The sequence below is a fragment of the Homo sapiens genome, chromosome 15 (assembly GCF_000001405.40).
Source record: "Homo sapiens chromosome 15, GRCh38.p14 Primary Assembly".
Lineage (NCBI taxonomy): Eukaryota > Metazoa > Chordata > Mammalia > Primates > Hominidae > Homo > Homo sapiens.
This window is the reverse complement of record NC_000015.10, coordinates 69020565-69038775: the sequence shown is the minus strand read 5'-3', so window position 1 is coordinate 69038775 and position 18211 is coordinate 69020565. Positions and strand designations below refer to the sequence as shown.

The 18211-nt window shown below is 45.9% G+C and overlaps 2 protein-coding genes and 1 pseudogene across 5 annotated transcripts in view, besides 2 other annotated features; all 3 read right to left on the bottom strand.

Annotated features, from left to right (window-relative positions):
* SPESP1-NOX5 (SPESP1-NOX5 readthrough) overlaps positions 1–18211 on the bottom strand; it is a 132238-nt gene that overhangs the window by 23987 nt on the left and 90040 nt on the right. For 2 of the 3 annotated variants that reach the window (NR_033672.2, NM_001184780.2), the window contains 7 exons: positions 12125–12248; positions 10411–10561; positions 6964–7174; positions 5499–5733; positions 3269–3422; positions 2840–3018; positions 1566–1748 (listed from right to left, as the gene is read on the bottom strand). Coding sequence is in view for 1 of the 3 variants with exons in the window: in NM_001184780.2 (NP_001171709.1) it covers positions 1566–1748; positions 2840–3018; positions 3269–3422; positions 5499–5733; positions 6964–7174; positions 10411–10561; positions 12125–12248 (1237 nt within the window). In the remaining 2 variants the exon portion in view is untranslated. Of the gene's footprint in view, positions 1–1565; positions 1749–2839; positions 3019–3268; positions 3423–5498; positions 5734–6963; positions 7259–10410; positions 10562–12124; positions 12249–18211 lie in introns of all 3 variants that reach the window. The other variant, NR_033671.3, reaches the window with a different exon arrangement.
* NOX5 (NADPH oxidase 5) overlaps positions 1–18211 on the bottom strand; it is a 48068-nt gene that overhangs the window by 23987 nt on the left and 5870 nt on the right. The window contains exons 2-8 of one of the 2 annotated variants that reach the window (NM_024505.4): positions 12125–12248; positions 10411–10561; positions 6964–7258; positions 5499–5733; positions 3269–3422; positions 2840–3018; positions 1566–1748 (exon numbers count right to left, since the gene is read on the bottom strand). In NM_024505.4, coding sequence (NP_078781.3) covers positions 1566–1748; positions 2840–3018; positions 3269–3422; positions 5499–5733; positions 6964–7258; positions 10411–10561; positions 12125–12248 — 1321 coding nt within the window. The remainder of the gene's footprint in view (positions 1–1565; positions 1749–2839; positions 3019–3268; positions 3423–5498; positions 5734–6963; positions 7259–10410; positions 10562–12124; positions 12249–18211) is intronic. The other variant, NM_001184779.2, reaches the window with a different exon arrangement.
* Positions 1496–2695: an enhancer, noted in NCBI's record as "CDK7 strongly-dependent group 2 enhancer chr15:69328421-69329620 (GRCh37/hg19 assembly coordinates)". NCBI's record gives its function as "activates an origin of replication core promoter dependent on BRD2, BRD4, P300/CBP, MED14 and CDK7 cofactors, with strong dependence on CDK7, by STARR-seq in HCT116 cells {active_cell/tissue: HCT116}" and the evidence as "EXISTENCE:reporter gene assay evidence [ECO:0000049][PMID:35650434]".
* Positions 12220–12720: an enhancer, noted in NCBI's record as "H3K27ac hESC enhancer chr15:69318396-69318896 (GRCh37/hg19 assembly coordinates)". NCBI's record gives its function as "activates a minimal SCP1, AML or CMV promoter by ChIP-STARR-seq in primed H9 embryonic stem cells {active_cell/tissue: H9 hESC(primed)}" and the evidence as "EXISTENCE:reporter gene assay evidence [ECO:0000049][PMID:30033119]".
* Positions 15097–16567, bottom strand: LOC100422194 (ATP binding cassette subfamily G member 2 (JR blood group) pseudogene; annotated as a pseudogene).

Here is an 18211-nt window from a genome sequence, read left to right as displayed (position 1 = left end):
GCTGCCCTCCTCCTCCATAAAACAGGCATGCCCCGAGACATGACACTCTTCTGTGCTTCTGAGTGGTGGCCCACCTCAGCAGCCAACCTGCCAATCTGGAAGTGGGCAACAATCCTAGAGGGGGCAGCCAGGCTGTGTCTGAATTGGGGCCCCTGGTTTTACCCTGCCTCTCAGGGTGTAAGCACTGCTTTTTAGTGGACCCTCTGTGACGTATCCCTGTGATGCCTCCCTGGCTACTCCAGCCCTTTCTTGGAACTTCAGCCAGAGTGTGGCTAGCATTCTAACCATCAATGGGCATCTCTCCTTGGATAACAACATCTTTCCAGACAATTGCTTTGGAGCACTGTGTTATCTCTAGGCCTCACAGCAGTTGTATGACGTGGATATTATTTTCTCTCTACTTTAGGGACAAGAAGAGGAGGCTCAGAGAGGTTAAATAACTTCCCAAGGCCACTGGGTAAGAAACCGTGGGATCTGAATGCAGCTGAGGCTGTTGGATGCCAGAGCCTAGACACAGAGCACAGCCTCATTCTTCAGCCTCCCAGGTCCTCTAACGCAGTGTGTCCAGAGCTGAGCCCGCCTAGAACTGCCTTCCTTTTCTCAGACACCTGGGAGACGTCCTAGACTCCATCCTCTCTGTTGCCGCAAAACATAACCAGTTGCTTCTTGAGTCTTTCTGTGATGTGCACCTGCCTCCATCCCATGGCCACTGCCTCAGTGTCAAGGCCCTCATGAACTCTCATCTTTGTATTTGCAAGAACCTCCCCACAAGCCCCCTCCAAGCTACCTTCCACAGAGCAACTAAAGAAATCTAACTAGAATATTAATGGTCACAGCTTAATACCACCATCTCCTCCCAGCGTGCTCAGGGGTTCCCCATGGCCTGCGGGGTTGGTCTCCCAGCTCAGGAGGCCCTTCATAATCAGGCCTTCCTCACCTCTCTGGCTTCCTCCTGGCAACTTGGCTCCAGCTATGCCAAATTACCTGTGGTCCCCCAAGCACAGTATACCCTTTCACAATTCTGTGTCTTTACTGTGCTGTTCCTCCTGCCAGCAATACCCTTCCTTGTCTTCTCTATCCAACAAACTCTTATTCATCCCTCAAAACCCTGATATGGCATCTTCTCCCTTATTCTGAAGCTTTTTCTGACCTCCCAAAGACAAAGGGTTTAATACCTCCAGCAACACAGCCCTGCACTGTAATGAAAGGGCTGGCTCCCCTAGAAAGCAGGACAGTGCAGAACCTTCTCTATTTCTCTGTAACCTAGTTCAGGGCCTGGCACCCTGTAGGCACTAATAAACGCTTACTGAGCTGAAGGAGACTGTTCTCCCCAAAATCGGATTTTAGAGGTTTATTGCCTGCCCTGCCATTCATCTTCCTAAAGCTTCCCTCCTGGAGGGCTGGACTGGGTCTTGCATTTTGCTTCTCTCCTCCATAGCAATGGGGCTGCAGCTACACTATTCTCTATTTCCTTGGGGGTCTGACAGGGTATCCAGCTGCTCCACCCCACAAACTGTCCCTTGGGGTGAGTTGGAAAAGCACCTCCCCATCCCCCACCTTTGTACCTTGGAGGGGAGGAGGTTGACTTCCATGATGCACACGGCTGCCATGCGGGACACTGCCAGTCCGATGGCCTTCTCCAGGAAAAACAAGATTCCAGGCACCAGCAGCCACTTCCAGAAGTTGGGCCCATGAAAGATGAGCAGAAGCCACACGAGGAGGTAGGACAGGTGAGTCCAATAGAACACCTATGGGGGTAGGGGGGGCAGTCAACTTCCAGAGCTCAAGGCCTGGGGGGTGGAACAGAGCCAGGACTCAGGGTTATCCTCAAAGCCAGGGCAGTGCTCAGAGCCTTGACTCTCTCCCGGGGATGGAGTTGGGTAAGATGTTGGGGCTGGGAAGCTTCTTTTTCTGGGTGCTTGGCCAAAGGAGGCTGTAAGGGAAGATTCCTGATACCAGAGGCAAACATCTGAAATATCTGCCTGGGGAGGTTCTGGGCAGAGTGGACTGCCCCCACAGGGATCATGAGCATCAGTATCGCTACCCCCGACCCATTCTCAGAAGGAAGAAAGGAAAGACAGCAATGGCTTCCTGGGAGTGGAGAAGAAATAGCAGAAGACAATTTTAGCACCTTCTGAAGCTTTGTGATCTTGGGCAATTTCATTACTTTTCTGAGTGTGAAATTCCTCATGGGTCAAATGAGGATTCTGATTCCTACTTCAAAGGCTTGTTGCTGGCCCAGAGTAGGTACGTGCTCAGTATATGTCTATTTCTGATGTGGTCAGGCCACAAGATAGTCAAGCTCTCCAAACCAAGTCCTCTGTGACTTTCTGCATCTTGAGGAGGCTGGAGAGACAGAAGCAAAGATGGAACTAACATTTTCAGAGCACCTATGTGCTAGGATGTAGTTAGTGGTTTTACATGTATTATCGCCTATAATTCCTAAAATAACATAGAGAATTACACCTCCATTTTACAGATGAGAGAACTGAGGCTTGGAAAGGTTGAGCGACCAGTAAGCAGTGGAGTGGGGATTCAAAACCTGCTGAGCCTATGTTCCTTCCCCTCCCTGTACTGTTTTAAGCCCAACTTAATCCAAATAGGCTAAAGGGATAAGCCAGCAAAAAGGCAGACTCTTCCGCAGCAAAACATCTACACTTGGCAGACATAAACTACAGTCCAGTGGCAGAACACAGCAGCAGGTCCCAAATCACATGCAAATAATATGCAGACCAGCTTGGGACCTTCCTGGGCTCTGGAGTAAATCAGAGGGGACACAGAAAGAAATGAAAGTAGGACCCTGGCCTTGGGGGAAGCAAAAGGGCAGCAACTGGGGCACCTCAAAGTGGCCACTCCTGCGGATGCAGGAACTGGAGCAGATGAACATGAGGAGGAGCAGCAGCAGCAGAGCGACACCTGTCGGGGAGGCCGAACCGTGTACCCAGCCAATGCCAGGCCTCGTGGTGAGCAGCAGCTCCCAGAACTGGAAAGGGCTGGCCTCCGCCTGAGCCTGGAGTACTGGAAACAAGCTCAGAAAGGTTGAGTGACTGCAAGACCAGCTCTTCCCACTCCACCTTCCCATTGGGATCCCCACCCTGCACCATCAGATACTAGCACGGGCAGAAACTTTTGTCCAGAGCGTTGGCTTATCCAGGGCACCCCTTCTCTGCCCTTTGGGCAGGCAGTACACACAGGGGCTGGGCCCTGCATTCTGGGCTTGAGGCTGCTCAAGCTTCTCCCCGACCCAACCCTGCCCCAGATCACTCACCAAAGTTCACAGTGTGAGCCACGGTGTGCACGAGGGACAGCCCCACTACCACGTAGCCCATAAGCTGGTGGAACTGGATGTTCTGGTCCAGTGGTAGGACTTGAGCCAGCCACGTGGCCCGCAGCCAGGTGAGGCAGCGTCTGAGCATCAGCACCTGGCCAGGCAGAGTGGGAGAGAGCCCTGCCTCACTCTCTGTCTGCCTTGTCCTCTTTTCCCAGCCACCTCCCTGCATCCTCCTGAGCTAGCTGTGCTTTCTGAACAGGACACTCACCAAAGTCCCCTGCCCCCATGCCTTGTTGCTTCCCTGGATTCATACCTGGGGTCTCTAGAGGAGGATCTCCAGAATTGTGGCGGGAAGAGAAAGTTACAGAATGTCTATTTGTATTAATTTTTGTCTAAACACATGAGAAACATCTATGCTTTTACTAATATTTAATATATGGGCCAGGCGCAGTGGCTCACTCCACTAATCTCAGCACTTTGGAAGGCTGAGACAGTAGGATCACTGGAGCCTAGGAGTTTGAGACCAGCCTGGGCAACACAGCGAGACCCCTGTCTCTATAGAAAAAAAAAATTGTTTAATTAGCTGGGCATGGTGGCACACACCTGTAATCCTAGCTACTTAGGGGGCTGAGGCAGGAGGACTGCTTGAGCCCAGGATTGCTTGAGCCCAGGCGTTTGAGGTTACAGCAACCTATGATCAGTCCACTGCACTCCAGCCTGGGTGACAAAGACCATGTCTCAAATAAATAAATAAATAAATAAAATATCTCTGTTGACTTGGTGCCCTCATTTAGTCCATATGTCAGATGGGCACGTGTTGTGTTAGTTCTCGAGGTGCCTTGCAGGAGCCAAATCCAGAGTGGTTAACCAGGGTTCTCTCATTGCTCATTTGCTTTCAGTATATTTATGTTTGCCAAGGATGTGGACTTGTAGGTTACAGTATTTGACTTTACCAAAACTAAGCTAACTACCCCTCACAGGAAGGACAAGTAGCTTTAAAAGTTTCCCAGCAGAGAAACCACAGATTAACAGTTGTGTTAGTAATACATGAGCAAGTGACCAAGAAAATGAATCACACGTCTCCCACTCCTGGAATGAAGTCTTTGTTAGCTCGTTGAGCCATTAAGACAAAACCCACTTTAGGGATGGGTACCCCATTTTGCAAGATGTGATTATTACACATTGCATGTATCGAAACATCCCATGTATCAAAACATCCCATGTACCCCATAAATATATACACCTACTATGTGCCCACAAAAATTAAGATTAATAATTAAAAATAATAAAAATAAATTTAAAATAAAACCTATAAAACCCACTCTAATGAGAAGCTCATATCCAGAAGCGTATCTGAGCTAGAGATGGGCATCCCTGCTCATCAATGATGAATCTTCCCCTGTAGTTACTTTGTGCCATAAGTCTATTAGCTAATGATAATAGAGCATGCATATAAGCATAAGAGGGCTTTTGTTTTAATGGTAGGAGTTGTGTGATCAAAAACTCTTAGAGGTCAGGCGTGGTGGCTCATGCCCATAATCCCAGCACTTTGGGAGGCCGAGGAGGGTGGATCACCTGAGGTCAGGAGTTCGAGACCAGCCTGGCCAAAATGGTGAAACCCCATCTCTACTAAAAATATAAAAATTAGCTGGGCATGGTGGCGGTTGCCTGTAATTCCAGCTACGGGGAGGCTGAGGCAGGAGGATCGCTTGAACCCGGGAGGCAAAAGTTGCAGTGAGCTGAGATCGTGCCATTCCAGCTGGGCAACAAGAGCAAAATTCCGTCTCAAAAAAAAAAAAAAAAGAAAAAAAAGAAAGAAAAAAAAAAACACCTCTTAGAGGCCTCATCCATGAGCCAGAGAACCACATTCCAACTCCATGGTCTGGTATTCAAAGCCTCTTCTAGGGTTTCCTCTTGAAGGTGCTCCTGCACAGGGGTCCACTATAGGGGAGTTGTGAAGATCAAATGGAGCGTGCTCAGCACCGTGCCTGGTGCATAGTGCACAAAAATGCCAGTTATGTTATTATTTACTGGCTGTGTGACTGTGGACAAGCTACTGTCCCTCTCTGGGCGGCGTCCTCCAACTCTGAGCGTTGGCCCAGCTGATTTCTAAGGTGCCACCCTGCCCTGGCATTCCAGGTGTCCTCTGTGGGTCGCTCTGTCTAGGAGGAGCCCACCTCGGCTCCTAATTAACATTTTCAGAGCACCGTGTGCTGGCAGAGCCTACCGCGATGAAGCTGCAGTCGAAGTTGAGGCACTGGCCGCAGCCCTTGGCCACCATGACGCTGGCGCCGAGGTCCCGGTGCGCGCTGGCCGCCAGCCCGAAGAGCAGCACGTGGAGGCCTGCATAGGTGGCCAGGCAGAACAGCTGGCTGCGGTGGTTGTGCCAGTAGGCGCGGGTCAGCTGGCGCGGCCGGCGCGGGCGTGGGCGGGGGGCGGGGGCCGTCAGCCAGTGGGCAGCGCTGCGAGAGAGGCGGGTTCCGCTCAGAGGCGAGCGGTGGGGCGGGGACCACCTGTGTCTTAACTTAAAGACCCCCTTCAAGCTATGGCCGACCAAGTCTGGCAAGCAGGCCGGCTTTCTTCACACCAGGAAACAGAGAGGTCAAGTGGCTTGGTCACAGTCGCACAGCTCCGCGGAGCTGAAAGGGGACTCCGGTCTGCCTAATGCCACAACCACCGCTATTTTTATTACTTCTCTTTACTTTCCAATTTTAAAAGAAGCAGTCGAAAAGGATGGAAGAATCTGAAATATGTTTTGGTAAGTAAGCCCCAAGAAAGTTAATAGGCAGGTAGGTGCCCAGTGCAGTGGCTCACGTCTGTAATCCCAACACTTTGTGAACCCAAGGCGGGCGGATCACCTGAGGTCAGGAGTTCGAGACCAGCCTGGCCAAGATGGCGAAACCCCGTCTCTACTAAAAATACAAAAACTAGCTGGGCGTGGTGGCTGGCACCTATAATACCAGCTACTCGGGAGGATGAGTCAGGAGAATCGCTTGAACCCGGGAGGCGGAGGTTGCGGTGAGCCGAGATCATACCACTGCACCCCAGCCTGGGCGACAGAGTGAGACTCCGTCTCAGAAAAAAAAAAAAAAAAAGTTAATACACAGGAAGAATGAACTACAAAACCGGCTCTATTCAGAGCCTGGAGTCGGACAGACTTGGGTCTTGCTGTTACACTCTTATTTTCTCCACAGCACTTATTAATTTTGTGCTTCTCTAGTTTGTGTGTTTATTGGTGTAAATGACATGTCTCTTCGTCTGGAATGGAGCCCCAGCAGGGTGGAGACCTCATTCACTGCATTAATCAGAACAGTGCCTGCTGCATAGAAGCTGCTCAAACATTTATTGCATAAATACCTTTGTTAATTATTTGTGTGATCCTAGGCAACTTACTTCAGGCGAAGTAATTTCCTTTTGTAAAACGAGTATTGCTATAAAATGCACTGGTATATGCAAAAGTGCTCAGCACACAGTAGGTGCCTCAGACCTTGAGTTGATTCTGCAGAGACACTGCAGGAAGTGGAGGCAATGAAGACAGCTGCCCTGCAGTACACTCAAGAGTGGGCTAAACTGGGGAGGGGCGGGGCAGGGCGGGGTAGGGCAGAGTGGATCCGCGGTGAGTTCCTGCCACACTTCCGACCAGGAGTCTAACGCCGCCGTGGACAGTGCCAATGCCCGAGACCCGGCCGTACCTGATGGTCAGGTTCTCCATGACTCCGGGGAAGCGCTGCAGCTCGTCCCGGAGCTCCTCGAAGGTGATGGCCCCGTTGCCGTCCGCGTCGGCCGATTCGAAGAGCGCCAGCGTCAGCTGGTCCAGCTTCTCGTCAGGCAGCGAGATGGCGCTCTCGCGCAGACACGACTGCAGCACAGTGCGCAGCTCATCCGGGTCAATGGAGCCACTGCCTGTCCCGAGTGGGGATGAAGCCCAGTGCGGGCCTGCCCCAGCACCCCACTCTGTACCTGCAGACGCCCCCTGCCGTGCACACACTGCAAGAAGTGGTGGGCCTCTTCTGTTTACCCACCTCCAGCTTTCTGCCAGTCAGCTTTCCTTGGGGGTATAGACCATGCAACTGAAGGACCAAATGTCACCCTCAGCTCAGAAACCTTCCATGTTCCCGACTGCCTAGCTCAACAGCAATGGACACCTCCCCACGGGTGGAGAATCTTTGGCTTCAGTGGTTGCCTGTCTCCAGAATCGGTAACTCCCTAAGTACTACTCAACTTCCAAGACTATCTGCCCAGAAAATACACCTGCTTACTTAATCTATAAGGGGCGGTGTGCCCACAGCCTCAGTTATCCAAAGGCACACTGTATGTGGGTTAGCGCTGAGGGAGTGTGCCTTGTTGTTCAACTTGGAGCAAATGCTCTGTTTATCATGTTGTCTTGAGAGGGGCCACAGCTAGGCATTCCAGCCCAGCAGTGTGGCCTTATGTAAACATGGGTGGTTGAAAGTGATGGGATAAGGAAGCCAAAACTACCAACAGAGATGAGATTTTTCTGTATTTTATTCTTCCTGAGCAGCAGAGCCCGTGATTAATGATTTCTTGGCCTGCTTTGGATATGGACACACCCAGTGTGGCATCCTGCTCCTGCCCCTCCTTAACTGTGCAATAGTGGGCTCTAAGTCCTCTGGGGTAGTGGACCTCACTTTGCTCATCTCTAAAATGAGAGTAATCATTTCTCCCTCTCAGAACTAGCTCAAGGAAACTCGATAATGGTAAAACACCTAACGCAGTATCTGGGAGAAGGAAATTGCATATACATGGAAATTCTCATTGGTGTTGTGATCATCATTCCGGCCCAAATCACATTACGATGCAGAATCAATTAGAGTATATTATACCACTCTCCAGTCACACCGCCTGTTCTGCTTTCCTAGTCAACAGCCAAGATGACAGCAGGTTTCTGGACTCATCCAGAGGACCAGTCTCCCCCTGGCCCCTTCATGGCCTCTTCTATCTGCTTTAATCTCTCTGTTGGCCAATTTCAAATCCAGGGTCCTCCCTCACAATAATTCTCATGTGCACATTCTCCTTCCTTCTCCCTCTAACCTTCCATTCTACTGACTCTAAGAATATCCCATCCCTGGGTGAAGCCAGCTACCTGTTTTCCGCCCTCTGGCACCAGGGCAGCAAAATGAACATTGCTGAAGAAAAGCTTTTCAGAATGCAGGTCCATCCCTGCGAATCCCTTGCTCAACACACTTTGATGGCTCCCCGTCGCGCGTAAGTTAACTAATTTAACCTTCATCTCAACCCCATGAGTATGAAATATTATTATCATAATTCCTATTTGATAAATAAATTGAGGTACAGAGAAGTTAAGTAACTAGTCTAAGATCATATAATAAGTGATGGAACTGAGATTTGAACTTAGGTAGCTTGTGCTTAGAGTCTTAAATACTACACGATGCTGCATGATACATACAGTGGAGTATAATGCAGCCACTAAAAATGACACTATAAGTACAGTGAGTTACCACTTCACACCCATTAGGATGGCTATTATCAAAAAGCAGAATATAAGGCTGAGCACAGTGGCTCACGCCTGTAATCCCAGCACTTTGGGAGGCCAAGGCGGGTGGATCACTTGAGGCCAGGAGTTCGAGACGAGCCTGGCCAACATGGTGAAACCCTATCTCTATGAAAAATACAAAAATTAGTGGGCATGGTGGTAGGTGCCTGTAGTCCCAGCTACTCGGGAGACTGAGGCTGGAGAATCACTTGAACCTGGGAGGTGGAGGCTGCAATGAGCTGAGATCATGCCACTGCTCTCCAGTCTGGGCAACAGAGTGAGACTCCATCTCAGAAAAAAAAAAAAAAGCAGAAAATTACAAGTGTTAGCAAGAATGTGGAGAACTTGGACCACCTGTACATTACTGGTAGGAATGTAAAATAATGCAGCCACTGTGGAAAACAGTATGGCAGTTCCTCAAAAAATTAAAAATAGAATTACCAGAATTACCATGTCATCCAGCAATTCCCCTTCTGGATATATACCCGGAAGAATTGAAAGCAGGAACTCAAACAGATATCTGTGCACCAATGTTCATAGCAGCATTAATCACGATAGTTAAAACGTAGAAACAGCCCAAATGTCCACTAATTGGTGAATGGATAAACAAAATATGGCATATACCTACAATGGAATATTATTCAGCCTTAAAAGGAATAAAATTCTGTCACATGCTATGACACAGATGAAGCTTGAGGATACTATACTAAGTGACATAAGCCAGATACAAAATGACAAATATTGTATAATCCCACTTAGATGAGGTGCCTAGAGAAGTCAGATTCTTAGAGACAGAATGTATGAATAGAATGGTGGTTGCCAGGGACTAGGGGAGGAGGCATGGGGATTCAGTGTTCAGTGGGCAAGGAGTTTCAATGGAAGGATGAAAAGGTTCTGGAGATGGAGGGTGGTGATGGTGGCACAGCAATGTGAATGTACTTAATTAATGCCACTGACCTGTACACTTAAAAATGGTTAAGATGGCAAATTTTACATTATGTATATTTTACCACAATAAAAATGACACTGTAAAGCAATATATTTTTACATTTCAAAATGTTCATTTTTGTAAGTGAAAAAGTTCATTTTTGTAAGTGAAAAATCCCATTAAAAAATGGGATTCATTTTTTAATCCCATTTTGTTAAAAAAAAAAAGGTGTGTGGCGTGTGTATGTGCAACCAGTTAGAAGGCAATATAGCAAAATGTTACGGGTGATTTTTGTATTCTTTTTTATACCACTCTGTATTGTCTAAAATGTTCATAGTGAGCTTATACTATGAGGAAAAGGAAAAAACAACAGAGATTTTCTTTTTCAGACATAGAAAAGATCAGAAAAAGGTTCTGGCCTCTGGTAAGTTGAATAGAAGGCATTTGTCTCCTGTGCCAGAGTCCCTCCTTTTCTCCCTGCTGCCCCAGAAAGGGGGGCAGGGATTAGACAGAGAGACTGGGGACTGGGAGAGAGATGTGAGGAAAGGAAGTGTCAGCCTCACCTGGAGAAACCAGTCCCAGGCTGGGCTCAGGAGGCCGGGATGGCACCTCCAGGCCTGCCAAGGTGAAATGGCCAGTTCTCACTGAGGCCCACTGATCTCCCCACCCCAGCCCACACCCAGGAAGAGCCCTTACCATCGATGTCATACACCTGGAAGAGGAATTTGAGTTTGTCCATGGGGCTGCCATGGATGAGCAGGGTCAGTGCCTCCTGCAGCTCCTGGAGGGTGATGGTGCCACTTCTATCGGAGTCAAATAGGGCAAAGAATCGCTCTGCAAAGAAGGACTGTGGGCGAGAAGGGTGGAAGACAGCACAACTGTGGCCGCAGGGCCTGGGCTTTGAATTTGTTCACTGTCTCCCTGTGTCTGGGGTGGTGGTGGGGGGGTGCACCACAGAGTGGCGGTATTCAGGCAGAACTCAGGTGCCTGAACACCCATCGTGATCTGCTCTAATGGAAGACCTGTTCCGATCCCTGCAGTAAGGATGGGCTTGGTTTGGACTTCAGGCCCCCTTCAGGCACTGGACTTTGTAATTTGCATGGGCTCTCTGTCCCCTACATACAATCACCCCCATCAGCCTTTAAATCCCAGCCTCTGGGTGGCCCCTTAACCAACATGGGAAAGGGTCAGACAGAGGGTCCTCCTGCAGGCTCCTTCCAGCCCTGTCTCACCCCACTTGGGGTGAGCGCAAGGGATGAGTGAATCTGGGAAGGACTTATAGATTCCACTGGAAGATCTGAGTCCTTTCTTTTGCTTGTTCTTAAGGCTGCCTACATTTTATACTTAAGGCTTGTTCTTAATCACCAGTTCACTCATTCATTCACTGAGCAGTCTTGTACTGTGTAGCCTCTGCCTGCCAGGCCTGGTGTTAGACCCTGGGAGCACAGAAATTAAGAAGACAGGCTTGGATGATGGGTGTCCCAAAGATGCTGTGTCCTGGGATGCTCCCCTCAAGGCAGGGGGAGGACCCTGTGGAGCTCTAGTGTCTGACTTAATAAAACTATGAGGGGTTCACAAGTATGAGGTATAGGCCGAAGTCCGCTGTGGACTGACAAAACTGCCACCTTGCCTTGGCTTTCTTCTTCATCCCCAGGATCCCTGGGTAGTACCTTTATCACTCTCTACCATCCCGAATGCTCTTTGTCTTAAGATGTTTTACACCCTCCCATTTGGATGGGATTGTATCATTAGGGAGAATGGGATTTTTTCCTTCCCCATATTTGCTGTGAAAGGAGGCGTGGCGTTAGAGTTCTTAGTAGTATCCCCAGGACCAGCAGGGGAGGGTCCTTCTGATTCAAGCAGGGCATTCAGATGCTCATCGGCTAGTCCCTGTCAAGGACCAGGCCACTATTCAATGCCAGTCCCAAGGACAGCTAGGAGAGGCTGGCATTTCAGACTCAGTCCTCCCTTCCGTGCTGATGTCTCCTCTGTGTGTCAGGGCATGCAGGCTGTGTGGGGTGGGCAGGGTAGCTATGGAGTCTGGAGGACTGGGAACAGTGTGCCACAGCAGACAGGACTTTAATAGGTATAGACCATTGACAAGCTTATCTTGAGAGGAAGCTTAAGTCAGAGCATCAGCTCTGCCCATGAGCCTAGTGGAAATTGTGAGGTTAATCATATTGCTTAAGATTTGACAAGCTACTGACTTCCAACTTCATGTGTTGAAGACCCAGGAGGCCATGACTATTAAGAGGAATGGGAGGGTGCCATAAACATCCCGCCAGCCCGCTACAAGGTGGAGACCTCAGGAACCCCAGGGAGTTCCCTTTCCCTCCCTGTAAGGGCTATGCCCTGAGAACCAGGCCACATAACGATAAATGCAGGGCTTCCACCTTGGCCCAACACTTGCCTCTTTCACATGCAGAGCTGCTTTGAATTCTTGCAGGCTGATCTCCCCATCTTCTCCTGCAATGGTCTTAAACTGCTGAGTCACCCACCGGAGCCACCTGGCATCCTCCTCGGCACTCATGGTGCTGGGAGGCAAAGGAAACAGGTTTATGGGCTTGGGGTGGCCAAAGCCTTATGAGGTCTCATGGTGGTCCCAGGGCCTCTGCCTTGCTCTAACTAGGGCCCTGAGCCTCCCTGAGTTGAATCGGGTCAATCAGTTCTGGCTGTGGATTGGAGCTTCCCACAGCCGTTTCTCCTCCTCCCTATGCCTCAGTCTCTTCCTCTTATCCTGAGTTGGCTGGCCCAGGCTTGCTTCTCTTTAGGTTCTGAAATGACAGGGCCCGAGTGAGGTGGACCCACACTGTGGGGATCAGGTCAGAGAGTGGCATGCTGCGACTGCATTAATTAACATCATGACAATGACTTTCCATCTTGCCTTTACACAGATCTTTACTGCTTTCCAAATATTTCCCACCACCACTACTTCCTTTGGTCTCTCTGACAGCCTGGTGGGCCAGGACATTTTGCAGAGAAGAAATAGGCTCAGAGCAATTAGGTAACTTAGCTAAATGTATTCAGCAAGTTAGAGACAGAGTTCAAATTCAAGTCCAGTGTTTTTTTCCATTCTGCCCCAAAGCCTCCACCCTCTGCTTAAATGCTTGTGATACAAGATGGATCAAGCCAGGATTCAGCCCTCAGGTCTTAACTCTTCAGGCCCAGGTTGTCTTCTATGATGTCACCAGGGTATTGGCTGTCTAAAACCCTCACAGATGGGCTGTCTGTACTATGATCTAAACAGAGGTGAGTGATGAAATTAGGACACTTCCCTAGCATTAGGACCCAGGAAACCAAAATTGAGGCAGTGAGTGAGGAGTTACAGATTCTTGTTGCTGTAAATGACTCCCTGGGAGAATGGCCTTGTCTATAGCTCATGAGTGTAACATAACCCTAAATGACTTAGCTACAGTAATCCTCATTCTTTGTGGATTTTGTATTTGCAAACCTGCCTACTTCCTAAAATTGATGTGTAACCCCTGAATCAGTACTCACAGCCCATCCGTAGTCATCTGTGGACATGCACAGAGCAGTGGAAACTGAGTCACCCAATGGCTTGCTCCCCACTGAGGCTGAGCAAGGCGACGATGCCTGCCTTCTTGTTTCAGCTCTCAGACAGTGAGTGTCCTTTTCATGATCTATCTAGTACTACATTTTTCACATTTTTGTGCTTTTTGTTGGTGTTTTCACTGTTTAAAACGGCTCCCAACCATAATGTTGCGGTGCTCTCTAGCATTTCTAAGCGAGCAAAGGCTGTACTGTGCAGTATGGAGGAAATACGTGTTAGGAAAGCTTCATTCAGGAACAAGTGACAGTGCTGTTGGCCATGAGTTCAATGTCAACGAATCAACAATACATATTTTAAAGGTGTCTTTAAATAGAAACACACATAAAACAAGGCAACTTATTGATCGTTTGACAAAAATATTGTGCCCTGAGGCTCACATGAGCCTAACTCTATATTTCCTTCTAAGAACAATGGTTCTGAATTCGCTAATTCAGCGTTTGCAGTGACTTTATAGAACATAAATGAGAATTGATTTTATTTTTAAAGACTAAATAAATATTAAAAATAAATGTAATAGTTTTCACATAAGCAACTAGACAAAGAATGAAATACATATCACACACATGTAAGTACATACTACTAAATATAAAGTCAGAAATTAAGGTATTAGAAAACCAAAAAAAGTCAAAATGATACATTTATTTCAATTATGGAAATGGTTTTACAGATGTATGCATATAATACTTCTCCCTTATCTGTGGGGGGATACTTTTTAAGCCCCTTAGTGGATGCCTGAAACTGCAAATAGTAGCAAACCCTATATAGACTATGTGTTTCCTATATAATACATACTTATGATAAAGTTTAATTTGTAAATTAGCTACAGTAAGAAATTAACAATAACTAGTAATAAAATAGAACAATTATAACAATATATAACAATATACTGTAATACAAGTTAAGTAAATGTGGTCTCTCTGAAAATATGTGGTTTTACTGTACTAACCCTTCTTCTTCTTGAGATCTGTGGATCTGATAACCGAGACAGCGACTAAGTGACTGAGGGATGGGCAGCGTGTATAGTGTGGATTCACTGAACCAAGGTGGGACAGAGCAGAAAGGCTCAAGATTTCATCAGGCTACTCAGAATGGCTGCAATTTAAAACCTATGAACTGTTGATTCTAGAATTTTTCATTGGGTATTTTTGACCTTGGTTGACCATGGGCAACAAACCATAGAAAGTGAAACCATGTGTAACAGGGCTGTACTGTCTCTCGACACTCATCAAATTATTCTTTTCCTTTTTATTTTTTAAAAATTATGGTCTCATTTTTTATGTGAGGACACATCATAGTAAATTAAAGGGAAATGTAAGAATATTTTAAAAGAAATAACAATTTTAGGTAGGCAAATCAGGAAGATAACCATACAAGCCACGGTTATATGATTCTTCCACAAGCCCCAGGGTAAGACATTGATGGCTGGTTTATCAAATATTCCTTGCCAGTACATATTGGGGAGCCACAGTATTGTTTACTATTTCACGGAGTCCTGGGCAGAAGTTTTGTTCCAAAAATTCGTTAGGCAGCAAAGCTGTAAAACTGGAATGCTGAAGTACTTAAACCATAACAGCCAAGATGCAATGGTTGCGAGATTTACTAATAGACCTGAAAAAACCATTATAAATACAAAAGAGATGGTCAGGAGAAGCATTGCTATGGAAACCACACTGACCTGCTGCTATGGCCAGTGCTAAATAAGTCACCATCATGAGGGAAAACATCATGATGATGAAGGTGTCCACCTTTGTCTTTAATCCTAACAAGATTAGGATTATTATACAGCATTATTTTTATAATGCACGTATTATTATAGAGGTAAATATAATGCTTGGTAACATCTTCCTGGTAGTAAATTAGATAACAGTTTTCCAAAGAAATAAGATGACACTCTGTAGTATCCACTAATATATTTGTGTATAAAGATCTTCTCTAGCACAAAGAGCTCTATGACCGACACACTGCTGAAACACCAGCTGGTGGTCAAGAAGACAACCCTGGCTCTATTCGGGATTTCAGTAGAATCATTTTTTAGCCCAAAGTAAATGGCACCTATAATCAGCCTCAGTATGGTTGTGACAATTACCTGAGCTATAGAGGCCTGGGATTTACCCAGCAGGTTTTTGAATAAATGCATGGAAACCCATCTGAGAGAATGAAGTGGCATTAGGTGATCTTGAAAGCTGAGATCCTCTTCTTTTTCTTACCCTCTGAGAGTTGATCTAATTCAGCTTTTGTTTCTCTGTTGAAGGAGGAGTTGACATAAAACTCAGCTAATTTTTCTGTGAGTGACTTATCTCTCTTAGCGGTCTCTACAGTCTCCGTGGCTTCAGTCTTCTTCCTCTCTGTTTAATACCACAGCAGTGAATCTCCATTAATGACACCCAGGAAGAAGTCTGCAGGGTTATTATTGAACTCACAGTGGTAACCAGTTGATGCAAAGTACCCCAAGCCCTCTTAAGCAGGCCCATGGAACATTCCTCTTTGTGAGGCCATTAAGGTGAGGCTATCAAACAACTTGAAGATGGAATACCAAGGCTGGTGAATGGGAAGAAGATGATTGTTCGTCCCTACTTAGACATCCTTTTCAGGAGCAAAAAGGTCAGCATTTGCTGTGCTTGAGTCCAGTCCAGTTGTGGGCTCATCCAGGAACAAGATGAGAGGATCAGTAATAGGCTCCATTCCTATATTAGTCCTGTTTCTTTTTCCTTCTGACACACTGCAGATGAATTGAATTCTAACCTTGAAATCTGCTGCTTTATCCAGACCTAACTCTTGAATGACCATATTTATCTATTCATTTTTTTTTCACAATTCATCACAGTTGTTGGAAGCTGAAGAGCTTCTGAGAACTGTAAATGTTCTCTCACTGTTGGGGTACTCATCATGACATCATCCTGTACCATGTAACCTGAATTACATTTGAAATTGGCAGGTTGAGGTGCTGTGTTTATCAGAACATCTCCAGATAATACATGTGGGTCTTTCCTTGAAACTAAGACATCTAATAATGCCTCCACTTGCGGGTCCCAGAATGGCATTGAGGCCAGGTTTCACGATCCCATTGATATTCAATTGTATTTCTTTCTCAACTGGTTTTTGACCATGTAGAAAGCTGCTCTTCACTTTTTCTTGATAACAGATGTTATGAAAGCACAGCTCTTTCAGTAAATGCTTTCAGGTCTTTGAGGTCACCTTGGGTAAGCCATTGGTGTTTCCTTGTGACATTGGGATAAAAACTTCGACATTATTGGAAGACATCTGGAGAGTTTCTGCCTTTCTTTCCAGACACACACTCTCAGCGCAAATGGCTTTCACTATTTACTCACTCTGCTTAATAGCACTTGGGTTTAACCAAAGTTTCCAATCTCAGGATCCATGTGCTCAGAGGCAGAACACTGACAATCATTGATATAAATGTTGAGATGAGTCAGCTGGACCTTCCAAACAAACCCTAAAGAAGCAGCTTCCACTTAATAATGCCACCAAGCATGTGCACTGTGCTTTCTAAATCATGAAGAGCTTTCACAAATTCTCCCAGGCTCCTCTCTAGGCTGCCACCTTCCATGTCAAAATATCCATTTTAAATATGCAGATTATGGCACATCATTTATGCCTCAATATAGTGAAAAACAAGTTGGTTCTTTTAAAAAACTAAGAAGAAAAGCATGATTAAGGATAAAAGAGAGAATAAAACCCCCAAATATACATTAATACTGAGAAAGGCAATAGAATTACAGATAAGGAAAGGGCTACTGAAATACAAGAGTACTGTGTGCAAATGTTTGGTGGATTTAAGAGAAATGAATTAGCTCCCAAAGAAGGTAACAATCTGAATGGACCAATAATTATTTAAGAATTCAAAATGACAGTTAGGCTAGGTGCGGTGGCTCACACCTATAATCCCAGCACTTTGGGAGGCCAAGGCAGGTGGATCATGAGGTCAAGAGATTGAGACCATCCTGGCCAACATGGTGAAACCCCATCTCTACTAAAAATACAAAAATTAGCTGGGCGTGGTGGCACATGCCTGTAGTCCCAGCTACTGGGGAGGCTGAGGCAGGAGAATCACTTGAACCCAGGAGGCAGAGGTTGCAGTGAGTTGAGATCACAGATGCTGTCTCAAAAAAAAAAAAAAAAAGAATTCAAAAGGGCAGTTAAATGTCAACCATTGAAAATAATGTCAGGGCCAGCTTGTTTTTAGAGCTGAGTTCTATCTAATCTTCAAAGAATGATAAACCCAATGGTAAACCATCTTAGATCATAGAAAGAGATAGTAAGATTCCCAATTCATTTTACAAAGCAAGCTTTACCCAAATCCAATGAAAAGAGCATATGAAAAGGAAATTCTATACAAGTTTAACTTATACAAAGCTTTAACTAAAATATAACTGAATTAAATCTAGAAGGTCACTTTAAAAAAAAAACAAACCCAACCTTAGTTTAGTTAGTTAGAACCTAATTAGTTAGTTAGAACTTAGTTTAGTAATGTAAGGATGGTTCATTATTAAGACGCCTATCAACGTAATTTTTGATATCAACAAATTAAAGAAGAAAAATAGTTTTTATTATGTCAATAAATGCTAAGGAAGCACCTGATAAAGTTCAAAATTCATTCTTAATTAAAACTATAAGAAAAATGGGAGGAAATTACCTAGTTTACAAACTAGTAATTTTCTCTCTTGTTCTATGATATTTGCAATGTTTATTTAGTTTCTCTAGTTTAATGCATTAAATTCAATCTCCAAATACTAGGTATTAGTGATGGCTAGTTTCTGGGCTCAAGGGAAACAGACCAAAATCAATGATCTATATCTATCTATATTTATATGCATATAAAAATTGATATCTATATATATATATTCATATTTATTTACATCTTTACCATCTATCTTATTAGCCAAAGCAGTTACAAATGGAAATTTT